The sequence below is a fragment of the Homo sapiens genome, chromosome 3 (genome assembly GCF_000001405.40).
Source record: "Homo sapiens chromosome 3, GRCh38.p14 Primary Assembly".
In the NCBI taxonomy this organism is placed as follows: domain Eukaryota; kingdom Metazoa; phylum Chordata; class Mammalia; order Primates; family Hominidae; genus Homo; species Homo sapiens.
Genome location: NC_000003.12, coordinates 52811006 through 52832314, shown reverse-complemented (window position 1 = coordinate 52832314; position 21309 = coordinate 52811006). Strand labels below are relative to the sequence as shown.

The following is a 21309-nucleotide window of genomic DNA, read 5'->3' as shown; positions in this document are numbered from 1 at the left end:
CTGGCAGAGCCTGGGCTTGTGGTGCCTGGCTCGGGGCTGATGCCTGCTGGGGATGCCTTCCTGTCCCAGGAGGTTCTGGCTGCCCAGAACGTTTCCCACAGTCCCGGCCAGCCTGGCCACCTTATATAGCCCTGAGTCCGGGCTGGGCCTGTGCTCTCTGCCCCAAGGGAGCAGCCCTGCTGTGAGGAAGGGCCCAGTCCTACTTGCTGGACTCCATGGGGAGACTCTTCCCCCAGACACTGAAAGGAGCGTGTTCCCCTGTGTAATCCCAATCGTATCCAGAGCCAAAAGGGTGAGCAGTGGAGACGTGCGCAGAGATGAGGCTTCTGGCCAGTCATGCTAAGGAAGGGGAACGTCTTCCTTGCAGCTGTAGAAATAGCTCCAGTCTATGGCACCTTTGCCCCAGGCCTGCCGCCACCTCTAATGGAGACAGGACTGGTGGAGAAACCCTCCCCAGCCTCTGGAAGCCACTGGCTGCCCCAAGGCCCCCGATAGGTTCCCAAGGCAGCTGGCCCCCTCAGGGCTGGTGTCACGGAGCCGCCGTCCTTCCCTGATCCAGGACTTGGCATCTGGCCACACTTTTATGACTCATCTTTACCCATCTGTGGCCACAGACTCAGGAGCTGGCTTCCCCAGAGCCACCAGGGAACACGAGCCCCAGCGGTGCCCAGAGCGCATAATATGTACTCACTCGATCCCACTTTACAAGGAGCAGAGCGCTTCAACTTTAGCAAGGCCGGGACCCACCCCAGGCCTTTGGGCAGCGCTCCCCTGGGTCTGGGCTGTGGCAGCATCACACTGCTCATGACAACAGCATTCTGCCCTCTCTCAACCAGCGATTCCTGGGCTCCCTCTGCTCCACCAAATGACTCCCCAGTCACCCCTCAGGAGCTGCTGGCACTGTCAGGTCTGTCTTCTGTTCCATGCTCTTCTGTCAATAAACTCCCCGCATGGAGACCTCTGTGCCACAGGATGTGGCAGGTTTATGACTCAGTTGTATTGCCATTCTTGTTTTGGGGGCCTTGCTGGGGTTGAACCTAAAGCCCTGGCTAGATTAATGGCACCCAAACAGCAACCTGGGACCCCAGGAGAGAGAAGGAGGCGCCCCGTGCCCAGCACCTCTCACTTCAGAAATACGGCGTATCTATCCTGACTCTAGATCTGCCCCACACAGACACCTCCCAGAGTCACTCCATGCCTTTGGGCCCTCCCATCAGCCAGACACACTTACCTGGTGGCCAAGCCCCCTTCTTCCGGGAAGCCGCTAGGGTAGCCCTGTAGCCCTAGTCTTCCCCACCATCCCCCGCTGTTTCTCCCCGGGCTGGACTTAGGGAGAGCAGACTGACATCTTCACTGTCAATTCCCTCCCAGCCCTGTGGAGCTTGGTGGAATGCCTGGTGTGAAGGGTCCTGGTGAAGGTTTCGCACTTTTCAGAAGGGGCATGTACCCCCACTCCAAACTGAGCCTACCTTTCTTTGGTATACATTCCTGCCCCCAGCCAAGGTCCATGGGACGTTCGTCATTTGCTTATCTGAGGTCACTGTGGTTTTTGGCTTGTAGATCCCAATTTCCCAGAACCTGCCCCCATGTGGGTGGGGCAGCAAACAAGTTACTAATCCATTCCCCACTTGCTGTCGAGTTCAGAAGCCTCCTGGCAGACACTGGAGCCACGATGAAGCCCCCAAGGCCTGTCCGTACCTGCAGCAAAGTTCTCGTCCTGCTTTCACTGCTGGCCATCCACCAGACTACTACTGCCGAAAAGGTAGCCAGTGTCCATGGGTGTGGCGTGAGCTGGGGGATGAGAGAACGCCTGGGAAGTGGGGAAGAGCCTCCGCATGTGCCAGCGTGTCAGCACAAGTGCGTGTGCATCCCTGTGTGTGCAAAAAAATGGTGCAGACCTCCCGCCAGGCACTACCCCAAGGGCCTTACTGGTATTCTCCCACCTAATAGAGGGGATGATCCAATCATTTCCATTTTCCAAATGAGGAAATACAGTTTTACAAGCCTGGCTCTACCGCCTTTTAGTAAGTGACCTCAGGAGAATGATTTATGCTGACTATGTCTCAATTTCCTCATCTGTAAAACAGGGTAATACTAGAACCTATTCAGAGGGTGGCGGTTGTGAAAACCAAACCCATTGTATCTATAAAGTGCTTAGGACAGTGCTTGTTGTGAAAACCAAACCCATTGTATCTATGAAGTGCTTAGGACAGTGCTTGTCGCAGAGCAAATACCCAAGCACATAAACAAGCCACTTGGCACCTCTGTGCCAAACTGCATTCAGGCAGCCGCATGCAGCCGAGCAGAGTTGGTGCAGTGCGCATGAGCATGTCACACACAAGCAGGTAAGAGGTGCCCGTGTGCCCCTCCTCGGGGGACACAGACCTCAAGGCAAATGGCACCTGCTAGGGGAGTGCCCTGCGGAAGTGGGGATGAGTTGGGGAGGGTCCACTGCGGAGCAGAGAGGAAGATTCCCAACTCTCAGAGACCAGACTCTAGTCTACCTCCGAATTCTCCCAGCTCTGAGGGCTTCCTTCTAGGAGACTGGTGGGAGCTTCCCTGTTGCCACAGAGGCCAAAGTCTCCAGAAATCAAAGGACCTGGTCACTGCCCTTTTTCTGGGCAAAGCTAAGCCAGCATGCAAAGCTCCCTGACCCCACCAGGTCTCTCACCCCTGCCCAAAGGCTGAGTGTGATGCCCCTCCCAGACACTGGCCCTGGCTTCACCAGCTCCACCCCCTGCATGCTTGTTCTTCTCCAAGGGGTGCTCTGGGCCCCTATAGATCAAGAAGGACGTGGCCCCTGCCCTGTGGTGCTGTAGGGTGGGGAATGAAGCACACTGCTATCTCTTACCTGAGACAAATGTTCACATATGAGATGCCTCACTGGGTTCAGCCTGAGGCCTGGTCAGTGGCTCAGTCAGATTGGGAGCCAGGGTTTGGTCTAGAGCCAGAGTCAGGGCCAACTCTTGAAGAGCGTCACCCCGAGCTGAGGTGGCATTGAAACCCTGCAACCCCCTTCTTCTTTGCTGGTCCAGAATGGCATCGACATCTACAGCCTCACCGTGGACTCCAGGGTCTCATCCCGATTTGCCCACACGGTCGTCACCAGCCGAGTGGTCAATAGGGCCAATACTGTGCAGGAGGCCACCTTCCAGATGGAGCTGCCCAAGAAAGCCTTCATCACCAACTTCTCCATGTAGGTGCCTTCCCACCCTCCTCCCCTCTCCACACCCCCCAGTGCTATGACTCCATCGCTCTGTGCCAGCAAACCCTCTTCTTGAAGTAAGGCATGCCAGGGTGTACATCTTCAGGAGTACACCCTGCACCTGGGGCCACACAGGAACAGGGGCTTGCCAAAGGACTTATTCTCAAAGATGCCCCCGTCCTTCCCTCCATCCAGCCATTCATCATCCCTAAGTGCTGTCCAGGTGTTAGGCAGAGAACCACAGAATCTTTGTGACTTTGCCTTTGAGGAGCACAGACTTGAGGCCTCCTGAGGCCAGACCAGGCAAGAGGGAGTCACCAAAATGCACATTCCAGCTCAAAGTACAGAAAACCTTCTAGACCCTTGGCTTCCTCACAGTGGAGAGTGGCTTGAGGAGGATTCTCCTAGGTCTGCCCCAGCTGGGATCCTGCAGAGGACATTTTTGCTCAGGCTGCGTGAGAGATGCCTGAGGTTTCTCTGAATTCTATGAGCCAAGGATGGTCCTCACTTTGTCCTCTGCCACCCTCCCCTACCCTTCCCAACTCAGTTTCCAATGTTTACTAAATGCACCAGGATGCCGCCTGTCCCTTGCTGCCAGGAAAAGCTGTGATTTAGGACAAGGGCAAGACTCTTCCCAGAAACAGGGCGATGGTGGGGCAGAGAGGGAGTGTCTCATGTGGGGTCCCACACTGTGGCCTCTGGAAAACTGCAGTGGGGGCTAGTCTCCTCCCTCAGGCGCCAAGCATCCCCCACTCCACCGCAGCCTCTACTTTTCCTAACCCAGAGCCCGGGCCTATGCTGCCCAGCTTGCAGTGCAAGCCCCACGGGCTGTGTCAGCCTTCGACATGGGTGCCAGGGTCAGCAGTTGCCAGGTCCAGGCCCGTGGCATCTGCTGAGAGCCCAAGACTGTCACTTGCCTTCTCTAGACCCAGAACCTGTTGCTGCATGAGTTAGGGGAGCAGAGAGCAGGTTCCCTGCTCCCTGACCTGGCCAGGAGCCCCAGCTGGCCATCTGGAGAGATGAAGCACTGCCTACCCAGGGGGAGGAGTGCCACTGCCCACTCACCAGCCCCATCCCGGGCTAGAGTTAAATTATAACCAGGAAGGTCAGGCAGGAGGGACGCGTAGTCCTGACATCCTGGCTGCTCCCCCTCCTGCCCACTGCCACACACTACCACATGAAGTTGACCAGGCACATCCCTACACACCCCACAAGGAGGCTCTGAAAAAGTCGTTTTCCTCCCTGAGAAATGGCCTGGGCCATTCTTTCTCAGCCCCCAAAGGATGGCTGCTAGGAGTGTGTCCACACACCCAGGAGTCCCGTCCACCAGTTGTCCAAAACCTCCTTCCAGATATGCCAGCCTCCCTATAGGGTGCCTGCCTCTTGTGGGAGGGAGCGGGGAGACTGCTGTAGGGGGAAAGTGCTCAGAGCCTCCAGCCCTACGTCTGCTTCCTCCTCAGTCCTGGCCCCACACGGCTGCACGCAGGGCTGGGAACAAGTGTGACTCAGAGAGCTCTTGCTGGTGATGAACTAGTTCCCCTGGAACAGTCCGTGAAATGGAAGGGGCAGGTGGGAATGTGGGCCAGCTTCGGCCAGACTGGACAGGTGGAGAGAAGGCAGGATTTAGCCCGGCCCTGCCCCTCTGCAGCCTCCCCTTCGTCCCTTCTATAAAATGAATGCTTACTGTTACTGTACACACCTCCGGGAGCTAGAGGCCTGGAGCACTTTGCAGAGTGCCCTGCACAGGGTCCTGTATGCGGTAGGTGCATAATAAATGGCACTGGGCTCAGGCAAAGATGGGAGTCACTGTGTCAAGAGGCACACCGAGTCCAGAAAGGCTCTCTGGAGGAGGCAGGAGTGGAATGGGCCCCTGCCACCAGGCTCTCAACAACTCCCACCCTTCTGCCCCCAGGATCATCGATGGCATGACCTACCCAGGGATCATCAAGGAGAAGGCTGAAGCCCAGGCACAGTACAGCGCAGCAGTGGCCAAGGGAAAGAGCGCTGGCCTCGTCAAGTGAGCTGGTGGGGGGCAGCTTCAGTGGGGAGGGTCTAGACAAAGGCCACCTTGCCTTTGGCCCTTAGTCCTGCTCCCACCTCTACCAGCCTTACCCCACCTGTCCTGGAGGAGCAGGCCTGATGCCCTTCTCCCCCAGGGCCACCGGGAGAAACATGGAGCAGTTCCAGGTGTCGGTCAGTGTGGCTCCCAATGCCAAGATCACCTTTGAGCTGGTCTATGAGGAGCTGCTCAAGCGGCGTTTGGGGGTGTACGAGCTGCTGCTGAAAGTGCGGCCCCAGCAGCTGGTCAAGCACCTGCAGGTACCTGCTGCTACCTCTTCCAGGGAGGCCTCCTGCATGACCCTTGCCCTGCTGAGGGCGGCCCCTCTTTGTCCCTGAGCCTCCTGTGAGCCCCAGCCCAGGCTCCTGGCTGACCCAGGGACCCACATCTTGCCTCCAGATGGACATTCACATCTTCGAGCCCCAGGGCATCAGCTTTCTGGAGACAGAGAGCACCTTCATGACCAACCAGCTGGTAGACGCCCTCACCACCTGGCAGAATAAGACCAAGGTGGGCCTGTTGTGGTCAGCAGGTGAGGGTACCAAGGGCCCTGCCTTCAGGCCAGCCCTATGAGCCCGGATTTCTGGAAAGCAGGATGGGCTCTCCCTCCTGTGAGCTGTGACCTGGAGAGGCTCCTGAGATCTCTGCATCCTTGCTGTCATTTGGCAGATGGGGAGGGCAAAGCCTAGAGAAGGACCATGGCGTCCTCGTATGAGCCCTGAGATCTGTCTGGGAAGGGGCTGGATAATAGACTGATGTGAGGGTCCTGGGGCCAGGTGGAGAGAAGGAGATGGTTGGATGGCACACATCCTGGAATAGCCTCTGCTTGCGCAGCTCCAGGAACAGGGAGCTCATCACACCCCTCCCCTACGTGAAAGTGGTCCATCAATAACTCAGCCTGAAAGAAAGTGCCCTGGAATACGGACCCAAGGCTGCATCCTGGAATTCTGATTTCCCAATATACAGACAGGGGTAGAGGGTGTTGTTGGCCTGGCTTTGCTGTTCCTCCCAACTTCAGCCCGGATTATTCCTCCAGGCTCACATCCGGTTCAAGCCAACACTTTCCCAGCAGCAAAAGTCCCCAGAGCAGCAAGAAACAGTCCTGGACGGCAACCTCATTATCCGCTATGATGTGGACCGGGCCATCTCCGGGGGCTCCATTCAGGTGGGTGGACTTCAGGCAAGAGCAGAGCAGCCTAGAAGTCTGTCCACCCCCAAGGGCCTGAGCTTGGGTATTTTAGAACAGGAAAAGAACCACCCTTACTTAGCAGTGTGCACCAGGGACCGGCACAGACAGAAAACACGTGATTTAGTTGTGTTGTCCCTGAAACTATTCCCTTTCCCAGGCAGAAAAGGTTTGTCTCTGAGAAGAGCTGCCCTGTGGGGTTTCCCTCTTTGCCTCTGCTGCTGGGAGGCTCACAACTCAGTTTTATGCAGATTTGCAGTAGTTTCTTTCACACTAGTTTCTGGCATTATTATTGTTGTTATATTTTGGTATGATCATGGCTCACTGCACCGTCAAACTCCCAGGTTCAAAAGAAACTCCTGCCTCGGCCTCCCTAGTAGCTGGGACTACAGGCGTGCACCACCACACCTGGCTAATTTTTTTTTTTTTTTTTCCAGTAGAGACAAGGTTGCCCAGGCTGGTCTTGAATTCCTGGGCTCAAGTGATCCTCCCACCTAAGCCTCCCAAAGTGCTGGAATTACAGGCGTGATTCACCACACCCAGCCATTTCTGCCATTGTTATTATACTTCCCTTTTACTCCATGTTTTTGAAGTCTTCCCTCTTTTGATGGTTGTCAGGTTTATGATGTCTGAACTTTTTAGTATAAACCATCTGAAATACTAAAACAAATAGAAGGAAAAGTTGCAGGGAGAGTTCTGGTGGGCTATGCATGAGCAGGGAAGGCTTCCGCAAGAAAGGGGCTGGTCTGAGCCCTGAAAAAGGGCAAGGTTTTGGGGAGGTTAGCAGTGGGATGGAAATGGGATTGGAACAGAGCACAGAAACCCAGAATTTGGGGTAAAGGGGCTGAATGGGGATAGGGCCAATTGTAGCTCTGATGGCCTGGGTGGGTCTCACTCTGGCCACAGATCGAGAACGGCTACTTTGTACACTACTTTGCCCCCGAGGGCCTAACCACAATGCCCAAGAATGTGGTCTTTGTCATTGACAAGAGCGGCTCCATGAGTGGCAGGAAAATCCAGCAGGTAGGTCCTGTGGCCCAGGGCAGGGCCCTGAAAACTCCCAGGCCCTTCACGCTATCAGCTGTGGTCCGGCAGGCAGACCCCCTTGCTTCACCTTTCGGCACCATGGGGCGGGTGGCTCTCAGGAACCAAGGTTGGCCAGAGCCTAGGGCAGCCCCTGTTCCTAGAGCAGATACCATGACCTCACCCCTGAGACAGGAGTCCAAGGATGCCAGCCCTAGGGCACACGAGCCCTCAGGGAGCCCTTCTGAAGCACCTATGTTTCCTCTCCCTGACCAGACCCGGGAAGCCCTAATCAAGATCCTGGATGACCTCAGCCCCAGAGACCAGTTCAACCTCATCGTCTTCAGTACAGAAGCAACTCAGTGGAGGCCATCACTGGTGCCAGCCTCAGCCGAGAACGTGAACAAGGCCAGGAGCTTTGCTGCGGGCATCCAGGCCCTGGGAGGTAAGTGTCTCTGTGGCCCTGCAGGGTGGGGGCTTCCAGGGCTCCTGGCTGGGGACCACCTTGAGAGTGCGTGTTCCTCAGGGACCAACATCAATGATGCAATGCTGATGGCTGTGCAGTTGCTGGACAGCAGCAACCAGGAGGAGCGGCTGCCCGAAGGGAGTGTCTCACTCATCATCCTGCTCACCGATGGCGACCCCACTGTGGGTGAGGGCCCTGCCCGTGACTCCAGGACGTGCTGCACAGGGGAGGCGGCTGGGGCTGCACCTGGGCTTGCTGTGGGATCTGGGCAGGGAGAGGGGGTCACTGAGGCCCCTCGGCTCTGAGGTTCCAGAAATATTCTTCAAGCAAATCACTATTTTCTCACCCTCATCCCAAACCCCTGGGTCCAGGGGAGACTAACCCCAGGAGCATCCAGAATAACGTGCGGGAAGCTGTAAGTGGCCGGTACAGCCTCTTCTGCCTGGGCTTCGGTTTCGACGTCAGCTATGCCTTCCTGGAGAAGCTGGCACTGGACAATGGCGGCCTGGCCCGGCGCATCCATGAGGACTCAGACTCTGCCCTGCAGCTCCAGGTGCCAGTGTGCCCCAGGTGGGCTGCACAGAGAAGTGGGCAGTCATAAAGCCCAGCCTTTATGACACCCCCAACCCTGCAGGACTTCTACCAGGAAGTGGCCAACCCACTGCTGACAGCAGTGACCTTCGAGTACCCAAGCAATGCCGTGGAGGAGGTCACTCAGAACAACTTCCGGCTCCTCTTCAAGGGCTCAGAGATGGTGGTGGCTGGGAAGCTCCAGGACCGGGGGCCTGATGTGCTCACAGCCACAGTCAGTGGGAAGCTGGTGAGTGTGGCCAAAGCCACCCTGGAGGGGAATGGCAGCCTCCACCTCTGCAGCCAGAGGGGCTGGACTCAAATCCCAGACCTGCCCAGCTCCAGCTTTCCCCTCTGCTGCCTGTGGATGACACAGGGGCATGGCAGGGATTCAATGAGACAATGGAGTGATTCTCATGAGACCAGCACATACAGGCTCTCGGCAGCCGGTCTGTGCACCTGCAAGCACAGGTGAGGGCAGGGATTCCTCCCTAGTTGTCATCCCTTCCTGTCCTGGTACCACAACCCTCTCAGGTTGCAGTCAGACAGGGAGGGCTGCTCCTATTTCACAAATGAGCAGACTGAGCTCCAGGCAGGGCAGGCAGCTTTCCCCGGGCCCCACTGCAACCAGGCCAAGAGCCCAGCTTGCCACGTGGCACCCTGTCCTTGCCCAGCCTTCCCTGCCTCCTTCCAGGGACCCCCTGTCATTTCCACAAAGAGAAACTGAGCACAAGCTCTGCGGCAGGGCCTTCTTCAGGCCCTGGGATGCAGCAGTGAATGAGGCTGACCCCTCCGTGCCCTCATGGGAGAGACAACCCAAGGACATATCACCACACAAACCAGCTACAGGCTGGGATCTAACCCTGGACTCAGGAGAGCAGCACCAGGAGCCCCAGCCTGGCCTGGGGATCAGGGAGGGCTTCCTGGAGGAGGCCCAGCAGAGACAAAAGGATAAGTAGGAGGTGGGAAGAGTCCAGATGGGGCAATGGAGGAATATGTTAGGCCCCTGTGGCATGAGGGCAGCGTGTGTGAAGAGAATAGGAGTGGGCGTTGGGGGCCCATGGCCTTGTTTCAGGACAAGTCCCCAAGTGTCATGACTGTTGGTACGGTCTGCGTGGCCACCCTGCCTGGCTTCAAACCCAGCTCTGCCACCTCCCAGATAGGAGACATGGAGAAGTCACTTAACCTCCATCTACTGCAGTTTCCTCCTATGTAAACATGGGAATAAGTCGCATGCCCCCCTCATAAAGTCACTGTGATTGATGTCCAGTGATAAGCACTCCATACATGTCAGCAGGTGATTTAGCTTGGAGGCCGTGGGTTCCCAAAGTACAGAACCCAAGGTGACTCAGGGGAGTTCACAGACAGACATGGCTTGTTTTAGTGGTTATTTACTTATTTTAATGTGTATTCTGAAAAATATGACCTGAACTTCAGACCTAAGATTTTTTTTTTTATTTTTTGAGATGGAGTCTCGCTCTGTCTCCCAGGCTGGAGTGCAGTGGTTGGATCTCGGCTCATTGCAAGCTCCACCTCCCAGGTTCACACCATTCTCCTGCCTCAGCCTCCCAAGTAGCTGGGACTACCAGCATCCACCACCACACCCGGCTAATTTTTTGTATTTTTAGTAGAAAGGGAGTTTCACCTTGTTAGCCAGGATGGTCTCGGTCTCCTGACCTCGTGATCTGCCCACCTTGGCCTCCCAAAGTGCTGGGATTACAGGCGTGAGCCACCGCACCTGGCCCAGATCTAAGATTTTATGGACATAAAGCCAAGTAAAAATTGTTAGCTTACTTAAAGTTCATTTAAGGAAAAATATCAATTAAATAGCTGTATGTGTGGATGGGGCAAAATTCATGCAGGTAGCCTATGTGTGCCAAAGCTTTGGAAAGCCAGCCAGGCTCTGGGCGAGAGACAGGCTGCTCCAGTGGGAGCAGACCGCAGATCTGATCCGCACTGTGAAAAGGTCTCTTGGCCACTCAGGGAGCTCTGGTGGGAGAGGCCTGGGATTCCTCTGCCCTAGGAGCCCATTTCCCAGGCAGCGAGCTAGGTCAGTCTGAGACCACAGGCCCCTCCCTGAGGGAGGAGGGAGCAGGTTCACACAGAGCTTGGGTGCATGCTTCCCTGTCATTGTCCCACGGTGGCCAGCCGCAGAGGGGCCAGCTTGGACAGGGACAGCCGTTGGGGTGGATGGGGCCCCAAACCCGGAGCCATGACATCTGAGTTGTGTTCTCAACTCTGCCTCTGACCCCTGGGAAGGTCCTTCCCTCTCTGTCCCTTTCCCTCAGCTTTGGGGGTAAGGGCAGGCTGTAGCTAGACCCTTCCTGCTCCACACTGCACTTGCAAATCCTTCCTGCTGCTGTTTCTACACTGGCCTGGGGTTCCCATCCCTTTCTTCCAGAGGTTTGGCTGATCTGAGTCCTGGCGCTGTGCCTGCCTTATTGTATCTGGGCTACTTTGCTACCTTTTCACCTCCTTCTCATCCCTGTATGCTCTGTGACTGAGCCCCTTGCACCCCTAAGCCCCCTCCTTACCCCCACTCAAAGGAAATGCAGTCCCCACAGTCAGTGTGTGGGACCTGCCCCAGCCCCAATCATGGAAGAGCTCAGAAGTGCCAGGCAGATGCAGATGTCCGGCCCTCACTGCTCCTGCCCTGGCTGGGCCCCTCTTTCCAGCCTACACAGAACATCACTTTCCAAACGGAGTCCAGTGTGGCAGAGCAGGAGGCGGAGTTCCAGAGCCCCAAGTATATCTTCCACAACTTCATGGAGAGGCTCTGGGCATACCTGACTATCCAGCAGCTGCTGGAGCAAACGTGAGTGCATCAGCACCTCCCTAAGCCTGTCGCTAGGGGGCAGGCACAGGTGGCACGGTACAGCGCCTAAGCATGGAGAGAGGGGGGTCTTGGCATCATGTCCAAGCTCCAGATTCTCCCAGAGGGACCTCCCCAGAAGGGGCTGGATGGAAAATCTGTTCCCGAATTCAAGGATCTCCTGAGCTCTGATGTGCTCCACCTACAGTGTCTCCGCATCCGATGCTGATCAGCAGGCCCTCCGGAACCAAGCGCTGAATTTATCACTTGCCTACAGCTTTGTCACGCCTCTCACATCTATGGTAGTCACCAAACCCGATGACCAAGAGCAGTCTCAAGTTGCTGAGAAGCCCATGGAAGGCGGTGGGTGTGGGGTTGAGATCTCAGCCTCCCAGGTAGCAGAGTTTGGACCCAGCGTTCTCCCCGATCTTCCCTGCATCCTGACCAAGACCCCAACCGTGCCCCCAACAGACTCCCCCTGGGAGATTCAGCCTATTCACTGATGAGGAAAGTGAAGCCGGGTCTCCTGTCTCCCCAAATTCATTGCACCTACGATATAGTCCAGGATTGGGTAGCAAGATTAAACACAAGCGCTTCAAATTGATGAAAACCACCCTGACGGTGTCTGTCTGTGTCTCTGTCTGTCTGTCTCTCTCTCTCTCTTTGTTTTATCCAGAAAGTAGAAACAGGAATGTCCACTCAGGTAAGCAGCGAACATCCTCAAAGGCTGTGCTGGGTGGTGGTCTGCTAACACAGGGTCCAGGGCACCAGCCCTGTGAGGTTGCTGGCCAGGGCCCAGGTCCACCCAGGCCTCTCCAGCCCATCCCTGCTGCCAGGAGGCAGTGTAATCTGACCCAGCATGCTGGTGCATTTAGTCGCCTGTGCATTCAAATATTGGCTGTGCCTCAGGCCCTGTCCCCAGCACTAAGAATACAGTCCCCATCCAAGTGGGGCCACAGGAAGGTGGGTGCAAGATGCAAACCCAGGTCCCACTGATTTCCAGGTTCCACTTTCTTCAAATATTATCTCCAGGGAGCAAAAATACCAAAACCAGGTGACAAAGTAGGAGGTGGGGGGAGGGGAGATTGACAGATTGGGCTCAGTCCTGGCTGTGGAGGGTAGTGCCTTGCCCAGCTCCTCTGGCTGGTGACAGCCCTCGGGCCTCAGTTCAGTTGTATCTGATCAGGACTTGACCACACAGAGGCTTCCTTTTCTCCAAGAAGAGGATGGAATAGACAAGGTAGTTTGAGGGTTTCTGCCAGGGGGAGGCATGACATCCCTGGGGGGGAGCTTGAGGGAGGTCCATTATTGTTCATCTCCCAGCTGTTGGGGGAGAGGCTCCCCAAGTTGGCCGGGTGTGGGGAGAGGGGACATAGCTGCCCTCTCCGCACCCACTCCTGGGTGGATCTCAAGCCCTGGCTGTGAAGACCCACACCCCACCTGAGAGAAGACTGCATCTGTCGATTTCTCCAAAGCTGGAGCTGCTGGCTCCCGGATGAATTTCAGACCTGGGGTTCTCAGCTCCAGGCAACTTGGACTCCCAGGACCTCCTGATGTTCCTGACCATGCTGCTTACCACCCCTTCCGCCGTCTGGCCATCTGTAAGCTGCCTTCCGGCCCTGCGAGGGCCTCGGTTTCCCACGGTGGTCCTTGAGCCTGCCCCATAGAGGGGGGTGGGGTAAAGCACGCACCACAGGGCCAGGCCAGGGACGGCTGCTGAGGGCACGATGTGAAGTAATTGTGGGTCAGTTCAACCTGGGATCATTTACTGGGGCTGGGGTGGGAGTGCATTTCCTAAGGAGGCTGTCCTCGCCTTCCCAGCTCTTTGCAGCTGCCCCCTGCCCCATCCTTAGCGTCTCATCTCCTCAGATGCGAGCTCACCCGGGTCCTTTAGCTGCCCCTAGGTTGTCAGACCACAGGCCATGACAGAGCAGCCTCTCCCACACTCCTTGTTCAGAGGGGACCCTAGGCCCTAAGAGGGGCACGGACTGGCCAAGCATGCACATCACAGCGCTCTTTGGAGCAGTCCTTGCCAGCTTCCTCTCTCTGAAGGCCCCTCTCCCCACTACCCAGTGTATGGACATCAGGCCTCCCCTCCCCAAGGCAGGACTTCACCTGTCCTTTACTTTCACTGAGTAGGATCCACTATACTCTAGAGGCTGACTCATGAGGAAACCTTCTAGGAAGGGAGGGCTTCCTCCGTTCAGAAAGCCAACAGAGGTCCCTTGAACTGTTTTCTGATCCCCAAATCTGCACTCGAATGCAGCTGCACAGCCAGGCTGGACCTATCCCTGACAGCATGCTCTTCTGTTTGAAAATCTCCTGTGACAAAGGCCATTCTAGGTGGAGTGTATGTGTGGCAGGATGGGGGGCTGGAGCTTGGTGGCAGCGCTGCTGGTTGCCCGCCTCCTGACTGCCTTCCTGCTCCCTTTCTGTTTCCGGATGTTCCTGCCCTAGTGCCTGCTTCAGCACCACCAGCCACCTCAAATCCTGATCCAGCTGTGTCTCGTGTCATGAATATGAAAATCGAAGGTGCCCCCAAGGCCAGAGGCCCTGTCCTAACAGGGGGATCCTGGGAGGGGAGTGACCTGTCACATGTCTCGATGTTGAAGTAGTGAGGGAACCCAGCCACACCTAGTCACTGCTCCCTCCCTCAACCTCCCACTCCTCAGGAAGGGGCTGCCTAAACCCAGACTTTTTCTTCTTTTAGAAACAACCATGACAACCCAAACCCCAGGTAAGTTCCCAGCCCCCTTGGCCCCTTTCCACATCCTTGCCCCCAGCCTGCCCTTCCTGCTCCAGGAGCCGTGCCCCGGCTGTCCCAGCCCCCATACAGGCTCCCTCTGCCATCCTGCCACTGCCTGGGCAGAGTGTGGAGCGGCTCTGTGTGGACCCCAGACACCGCCAGGGGCCAGTGAACCTGCTCTCAGACCCTGAGCAAGGTGAGAGAGGCACACCCAGAGAGACCCAGACACCACTGGCACACACCCACCACCTGCCTACAGAGACACACACAGCGCGTGCAGGCTGGCCCCACACAGGCCCCTCCCAGATCATAGCATGGTCCTGCCTCCCAGTGCTGGCATGGGCACACACTCACACAGACACCCCGGGGACCTTCCACTGGGCACCTTGTGTGCAGGTGTGGGTGGCCAAGGCACAGATAAGCATGGCAGCCATGTGGAGGTGAGCCTAGAGGAGGAGCCAGGGTGGGGCAAGGGTCAGGGGAGCTGCCTGGGGTCACACAGGGATGGCAGGGCCATGGCGGGTGCACAGAGACCAGCATGAGGATGTTCCAGATGATGGAGGAGTTAGTGCCTGCAGAGTACAGAGCCCCAAAAGATGAGACCTAGAAGGTGTGGATGAGGGGAATGGCAGGAAGAGACAGGGGTGCTGGCTGGGCCCTGCCCCTTCAATCCTGGACCAGACATGGGGACACACTCCACTCAGCAGTGCTCACCCCCGCACCGCCCAGCCCCGCTCAAAGCCAAGGGACATCCATGGCTTTCTCATTCCTCAGATGCATGTGTCACCCACTTCCTCACTCAGGCTAGGAATGTCTTTCCTGAGGGCAGGGAGCACCAATTCTCCATCTTACCCTTGGCCGCGGCATCTAGCTCAGGGCCAGGCGCTCCATGGGGCGTTCTGAAGGCTTATTGACTGGAGACAAGTTAATTCTCAAAGGCCTCAACTGAGGGTGGCCGTCGCCGAGGATTTAGGGGCCCCTCCAAAGCCTTAGACACCAAGGGACAAGTGGAGAGATTGTGGGAGCCAGCCCCCAGTGTGAAGGAGTGCTGAGAAAGGGGCACCCCTCCTGATGAGGGAGGGAGCTGCTGCAGAACTCCAGGGGGTGTGATCAGGGGGGACTCCCCATGCAGGTCGGTGTCAGACCTGGCTGGGGCCCAGCTATGACCTCTCTGGTCTGGTCCTCCCAGGGGTTGAGGTGACTGGCCAGTATGAGAGGGAGAAGGCTGGGTTCTCATGGATCGAAGTGACCTTCAAGAACCCCCTGGTATGGGTTCACGCATCCCCTGAACACGTGGTGGTGACTCGGAACCGAAGAAGCTCTGCGTACAAGTGGAAGGAGACGCTATTCTCAGTGATGCCCGGGTAAGGCCCAGGCTGGAGCCCGGGGCAGGGGTTGACCTTTCAGGCTACAGTGGCTGATGATGGTACCAGCAGGTGGCCTGAGGCCATGGACCTGAGAATGGAGCAGCTACACTCACAGGAGGGGCAAAGAGACAAGAGCCCTGCCATATACCCCTGCAGCTCCGGAGGGCACTGAGGAGTTGTCCCAGGGACCTAACCCAGGTCACTATCCCATGCAGGAGACAGTGTGGTTTGGAGCTAGCTCTGCTGCTAATCCTTGTGACCCTGGGCAGGCAGCTAAGTCCCTCTGAGCCTCAGTTTCTTCACCAATAACCAGTACTAATCATCCTGGCCCAGAGTCAGAAGGCTGGGGGGAGAACCCAATGAGAGAGTGTAGTTGGGAGCACTTTGCCGTCAGATGATACAGTGCCCCCCAAGCACCCCACAGGACAGCGCTGCCTACATAGTGACGTGATGTTCTGATGACAATAGTGAGAAGCTGGAGAGCACTGTTGACAGCATGTTACCAGCATTCTCTTTAGCGTATCCTTGGAGCTTTGCTAAGGAGACACAAGTCAGTGGCCTCAAATACTGAGCAGCTGGTGAATAATGGAGGCAGAAGGCCACCTCTTTTGGGTGAGGGAGCTCACTGCTTCACAGTGGCCTTCCAGGGACAGTCTTCCAGCTTTGCAGATCACGAGGGGCGTCCAGGAAGGGCTGAGGCCCTCGTCCTCTGTGGGCAGTGACCTCCAAGCCCCCACCCTGTGCCACAGCTCACCCTTTTCCAAGTATGGAGAGCCTTGTCCAGCCCTGTCTCACCAAGCCCTCTGCGGGAACTCCCTTGCACTTGACAGATGAGTGCACACCCAGCTTATCCAAGGGCTCACCCAAAAACCTTCCCAATTTCATAAAAGATCTACGCCCGGTGTGGTGGCTCACGCCTGTAATCCCAGCACTTTGGTAGGCCAAGGTGGGTGGATTGCCTGAGCTCAGGAGTTTGAGACTAGCCTGGCCAACATAGTGAAACCCCGTCTCTACTAAAAATACAAAAACTAGCTAGGTATGGTGGCGGGCACCTGTAATCCCAGCTACTCAGGAGGCTGAGAATTGCTTGAAGCTGGGAGATGGAGGTTGCAGTGAGCTGAGTTAACACCACTGCGCTCCAGCCTGGGCAACAGAGTGAGACCCTATCTCCGAAAAAAGGAAAAAAAAAAAAGATCTAAAATTCCTTGCTATCTGGTAGATTCACCAAAATCAATAGCATTTTTATGCCTAGAAAATGAAATAGAAGTAAAATCCTATTAATTGTAGGGAGAGAAAGTCCAAATAGTTTCATGAGCTACAGAAGACATAAAGAAAAATAGGTTGGGCACGGTGGCTCATGCCTGTAATCCCAGCACTTTGGGAGGCCAGCGCAGGTGGATCACCTAAGGTCAGGAATTGGAGACCAGCCTGGCCAACATGGTGAAACCCCGTCTCTACTAAAAATACAAAAATTAGCTGGGTGTGGTGGCACGCCTGTAATCCCAGCTACTCGGGAGGCTGAGGTAGGAGAACCGCTTGAACCCAGGAGGTGGAGGTTGCAGTGAGCTGAGATTGCACCACTGCACTTCAGCCTGGGCGACAGAGCGAGACTCCGTCTCAAAAAAAAAAAAAAAGAAAAAAGAAAAAAACCCACATATTTTAGATTGAATTGAAGCAATAGAACAGTGTATGTTTAGGGAAAATTTGTTTCAAATAACCTCTGAGTAACAGCAGGGTCTTATTCAACATGCTCAAAGGAACCTAACATTCATGAGAACACCAGAAAGGCAAGAATTTCAAGGGTTATTTTAACTAAAAATCTGAGGAGACAGAATGAGAAGAGGCCTATCCTTTAGACATTAAACACATGATTAAACACAAGTCATCCAAAGAGAGTGCACCAGCTGTAGAACAAAAGGGACAGAGTGGATGCATCAGAGAAACTCCTTCAATCATATAAAATTAATTTATGACAAACTGAATTTAAGAAAACCAGAGGCCGGGTGCGGTGGCTCACGCCTGTAATCCCAGCACCTTGGGAGGCTGAGGCAGGCAGATTGCTTCAGCTCAGGAGTTTGAGACCAGCCTGGGCAACATGGTGAAACCCTGTCTCTCTTAAAAATAAAATTAGCTGGACATGGTGGCATGTACCTGCAGTACCAGCTACTTGGGAGGTAGAGGTGGGAGAATCACTTGAGCCGAGGAGGCACAGGTTGCAACGAGCTGAGATCACACCACTGCACTGCAGCCTGGGGGACAGAGTGAGACCCTGTCCCTGCCCCACCAAAAAAGAGAAAGAAAAAAAAGTGATGGGGAAACTAGACATCATTAAGTTAACTTTGGTCCTATTTTACCAATGAGGAAACTGAAATCAGAAGATTTAAGGGCCTTCCCACCCAAGGCCACTCCGTGACTTCCTGGACAAGAGGGGAAGCCCAGCCCACTCCCCACCCTGACTACTGAGGTTCTGTGCACACGTCTCTACCTTCCTGCTCAAGACACTGGGTCTTTCCACAGCCTGAAGATGACCATGGACAAGACGGGTCTCCTGCTGCTCAGTGACCCAGACAAAGTGACCATCGGCCTGTTGTTCTGGGATGGCCGTGGGGAGGGGCTCCGGCTCCTTCTGCGTGACACTGACCGCTTCTCCAGCCACGTTGGAGGGACCCTTGGTACTGAGCCCATTACCGGGGCCCAGGCCTTCCTCAGAAACCAGCTGTGCTTGGGAACAGGCAGCGCCCCTCCCCTGCGTGTGTCTCCCAGGCTTCCTCTGTCTCTGACCCTTACTGATCCACCCTTTGTATCTCAGGCCAGTTTTACCAGGAGGTGCTCTGGGGATCTCCAGCAGCATCAGATGACGGCAGACGCACGCTGAGGGTTCAGGGCAATGACCACTCTGCCACCAGGTGACTTGGCACAAGCAGACCGCTGAGCCCAGCTGGGGTGGGGTGGGGACTGGCAGGCCAGGAGCCAGGCTCTCCAGGGCCCCACTCCTGTCCTTGCCCAGGAACTAGACACAGTCCGGTGGAAGGTTGATGCTGTAGAAGTGTCTAAGCCAGCTTTCAGTGACCCCACAAAAGATGGATGGCCATCTCAGACCCACAGAAAACACATGGGCCCTGAGATCCCTGGGGTTGGTTGGGGACAGTCGGAACCTCTCCCTGTCCACACCCTGAACTCCCAGAGCCTAAACCCTGGAGACCTCACGTACTGGCTTCTCTAGGGTAATGCTCTGGGTGACTGGGCCTTGTTGGCCTATGCTGGAGGGAATTCTAAAGGGACGCCAGGACTCCCTGCCCTCCATGTTCCTGTCCCCAGCTGTCTCCCTCTTTTCGCACCACACCTGAGATTTGCTGACCACCTGCCTATCTGTCTGTCTTTCCATTTCAGAGAGCGCAGGCTGGATTACCAGGAGGGGCCCCCGGGAGTGGAGATTTCCTGCTGGTCTGTGGAGCTGTAGTTCTGATGGAAGGAGCTGTGCCCACCCTGTACACTTGGCTTCCCCCTGCAACTGCAGGGCCGCTTCTGGGGCCTGGACCACCATGGGGAGGAAGAGTCCCACTCATTACAAATAAAGAAAGGTGGTGTGAGCCTGGGAAGTGGGTGTCTCCAGTTCCATGTGGCCAAATCCTAGGGCCTCAACCTCGCATCCTGAACCTTAGCATCGTGGAACACAGAAGCTTCCACTGTCAGCTCTCAAGAGCCCATGGCCAGGAAGGCCCATGCTGAGCTTTCAGTCCAGCCCCTTCATTTTACAAACAAGGAAACTGAGCTCGAACCACCCATTTGAGATGTCACTGTGGCCCCCAGCTAGAGGCCCAGGGCTGGGAGCATTCTCCAGGAGCAGAGGTTCAGTCTGCTTCATGGTCTCTTGGACCAGTTTTGACTACAAAAAAAAAAAAAAAAAAAATAGAGTGAACTGGGTTGGAATTCTTTCTAGTCCAACTCCTAAACTTTCTCAGTGAGCTTTTGGACTTCTCTGCAATGGGATTTGCTTTACACAATTTGATTTTCACACCTGTGCTGAGGAGCAGGCCTGTCTGCTCATTGGCTTGTAAGGAAGCACTGGATCTTTGAAGGAGACACAGAGGCGAGGCCCCAGGTGCAGCAGGGAAATAGGGCCTGTTTCCAGGAACCTCTAGTCTAATGGGGCTGATCTGGGTCCCAACTCTGAATCCTGTGCTTGAGGGTCTCCTTTCCTGTTCTTGCCCCAGGGTTAGGCACCCCAAAGATTCCACCAATTCCTGTACGGGCAACATATACTTTAAAAAATTTACGGCTGGGTGCAGTGGCTCACACCTGTAATCCCAGCACTTTGAGAGGCCAAGGCCGGAGGATTGATTGAGTCCCAGAATTTGAGGCCAGCCTGGGCAACGTGACGAAACCCCATCTCTACGAAAATTACAAAAATTAGCTGGCATGGTGGTGCATGCCTGTAGTCACAGCTACTTGGGAGACTGAGGTTGGAGGATCGCTTGAGCCTGGGAGGTCATGGCTGCAGAGAGCCATGATCATGCCACTGCATTCCAGCCTGGGCAACAGAGCAAGACCCTGTCTCAGAGAAGAAACAAAAATTACTATTACCCCACCTACTTCTGAAAAAAGGATATGAGTCTATGGCTTACCAATACAAAACTTAAAGAGGAAGAAACCAAAATCTGAGTATAAGGATAAAAGAGCCAAGCAGAAGGATAGTGAACTCAGGGACATCAGGGTAGGGAAAGCTGCAGCAGTGATGGAGCACAAGGCTTTGCTATGAGCTTCCTGGAAGCCAATGTAAAGAAGAAACTGAGCTCATTTGCTTGCTAAAAAACACCAGATCATCAGGGAGACATCCTTTCCCCGGTCTTGAGCTAGAAGAGGATATTTGCTGGATGGGTCTTTCTAAAAGGGTCAAAGTACTGGCTGGTGGGAGGGGTCACCAGCAGCAGGTTTGCCCAACACACGGAAACGCTCCTCCCTGCATTGCTGCCTCCCCATCGAGCCTCCTTGGCAGATAGGGATCTCAGGCAGAGTCGCTTTGTAAAGGCTATTCCAGGGGGCTCGGGCCAGGGCTGTGTGACATGAGAGTAGCTCAGAGGGACTTGCTGTGGGGGTGGCCCTGACATACAGGGATGAGAGAGGAGTGCCACCCCGAGCTTACCCTTCTGGGACATGACCCCCTGGACTGGCTGCTGAATTTGTGCAACAGCAGAGGAGTCACAGTTGATTTTCTGGCCCTGCCAGCACCTGCGGGGCAGGTGTTTTCTGTGACAGTTGGAAATAGGCCCATGTTCTTCACTCTTTCATCCAGCAAGTGCTTTCCAGCTTATGCCAGGCCCTGGGCTGAGTACTGTGGGCACATTGGGCACCATGGCAGACACAATGCCTGTGGTGATAACTGCCACCCAGAAAATAGCCAGGTGCTGCAGGAGCCCAGAGGGAGACATGGGGATGACCAGGAAGCCTGGGGGTGGCAGGGAAAGCTTTCTGCAGGTAATGTGGGAGCTGAGATTTGAAAAATGGAGAGAAGTTAGCCCAGTGGAAAAGGAGAGCAAGAACAGCAGGTGGTGGGAACAGCATGCGCCCAGGCCTAGAGCCAGGACACTGTGTGCTAAGTTTGGGGAAGATGATGGAAGGAGATGCTGTTGGATGAGGTGGAAGGGGAGGGGGACCGGGCCAGCACAGGTGGTGCACACCTCACCACAGAGCGTGGCTTCTACCGTGAAAGGGGAGGGAGGGCCAGGCAGGGACAGGAGGGACCAGGGTGACGTGGAATGGGGAGAAGGCAGAGTCCACCTAGCTTTTGCCCACATAGATGGCCTCCCGGCCTATGGGTTGAGGGCAGCCGACTCCTGCCTCCCAACCTGTTCACATGGCTACTACCTGGAGCTGT

At 55.6% G+C, this 21309-nt stretch overlaps 1 protein-coding gene and 1 long non-coding RNA gene across 3 annotated transcripts, besides 4 other annotated features; one reads left to right on the top strand and one right to left on the bottom strand.

Annotated features, from left to right (window-relative positions):
- Positions 1643-19353, top strand: ITIH4 (inter-alpha-trypsin inhibitor heavy chain 4). Of its 2 annotated transcripts, NM_002218.5 has the most exons (24): positions 1643-1762; positions 3036-3196; positions 5118-5222; positions 5362-5524; positions 5664-5774; positions 6301-6429; positions 7357-7473; positions 7750-7918; positions 8000-8125; positions 8311-8492; positions 8574-8759; positions 11185-11324; positions 11530-11684; positions 11998-12024; positions 12325-12375; positions 12523-12561; positions 12797-12922; positions 13779-13853; positions 14032-14058; positions 14147-14263; positions 15257-15431; positions 17952-18106; positions 18244-18340; positions 18825-19353. In NM_002218.5, exons 1-24 carry the CDS (start codon positions 1673-1675, stop codon positions 18892-18894), a joined length of 2793 nt encoding a protein of 930 aa, NP_002209.2. In that variant the 5' UTR covers positions 1643-1672; the 3' UTR covers positions 18895-19353. The 2 variants fall into 2 exon arrangements, with proteins under 2 accessions (NP_002209.2, NP_001159921.1); NM_001166449.2 differs by lacking the exons at positions 12325-12375; positions 12523-12561.
- Positions 3683-4290: an enhancer, noted in NCBI's record as "H3K4me1 hESC enhancer chr3:52862041-52862648 (GRCh37/hg19 assembly coordinates)". NCBI's record gives its function as "activates a minimal SCP1, AML or CMV promoter by ChIP-STARR-seq in primed H9 embryonic stem cells {active_cell/tissue: H9 hESC(primed)}" and the evidence as "EXISTENCE:reporter gene assay evidence [ECO:0000049][PMID:30033119]".
- Positions 4291-4899: an enhancer, noted in NCBI's record as "H3K4me1 hESC enhancer chr3:52861432-52862040 (GRCh37/hg19 assembly coordinates)". NCBI's record gives its function as "activates a minimal SCP1, AML or CMV promoter by ChIP-STARR-seq in naive H9 embryonic stem cells {active_cell/tissue: H9 hESC(naive)}" and the evidence as "EXISTENCE:reporter gene assay evidence [ECO:0000049][PMID:30033119]".
- ITIH4-AS1 (ITIH4 antisense RNA 1) lies at positions 7001-8380 on the bottom strand. Its single transcript, NR_046615.1, has 3 exons — positions 8322-8380; positions 7978-8203; positions 7001-7110 (listed from the first exon to the last, which is right to left on the bottom strand). It is a non-coding gene; the product is annotated as an ITIH4 antisense RNA 1 (long non-coding RNA).
- Positions 7899-8056: a silencer, noted in NCBI's record as "fragment chr3:52858275-52858432 (GRCh37/hg19 assembly coordinates)". NCBI's record gives its function as "represses an EF-1alpha promoter that drives an FKBP-Casp9 reporter gene in an ReSE screen in HepG2 liver carcinoma cells {active_cell/tissue: HepG2}" and the evidence as "EXISTENCE:reporter gene assay evidence [ECO:0000049][PMID:32094911]".
- Positions 11702-12690: an enhancer, noted in NCBI's record as "H3K4me1 hESC enhancer chr3:52853641-52854629 (GRCh37/hg19 assembly coordinates)". NCBI's record gives its function as "activates a minimal SCP1, AML or CMV promoter by ChIP-STARR-seq in primed H9 embryonic stem cells {active_cell/tissue: H9 hESC(primed)}" and the evidence as "EXISTENCE:reporter gene assay evidence [ECO:0000049][PMID:30033119]".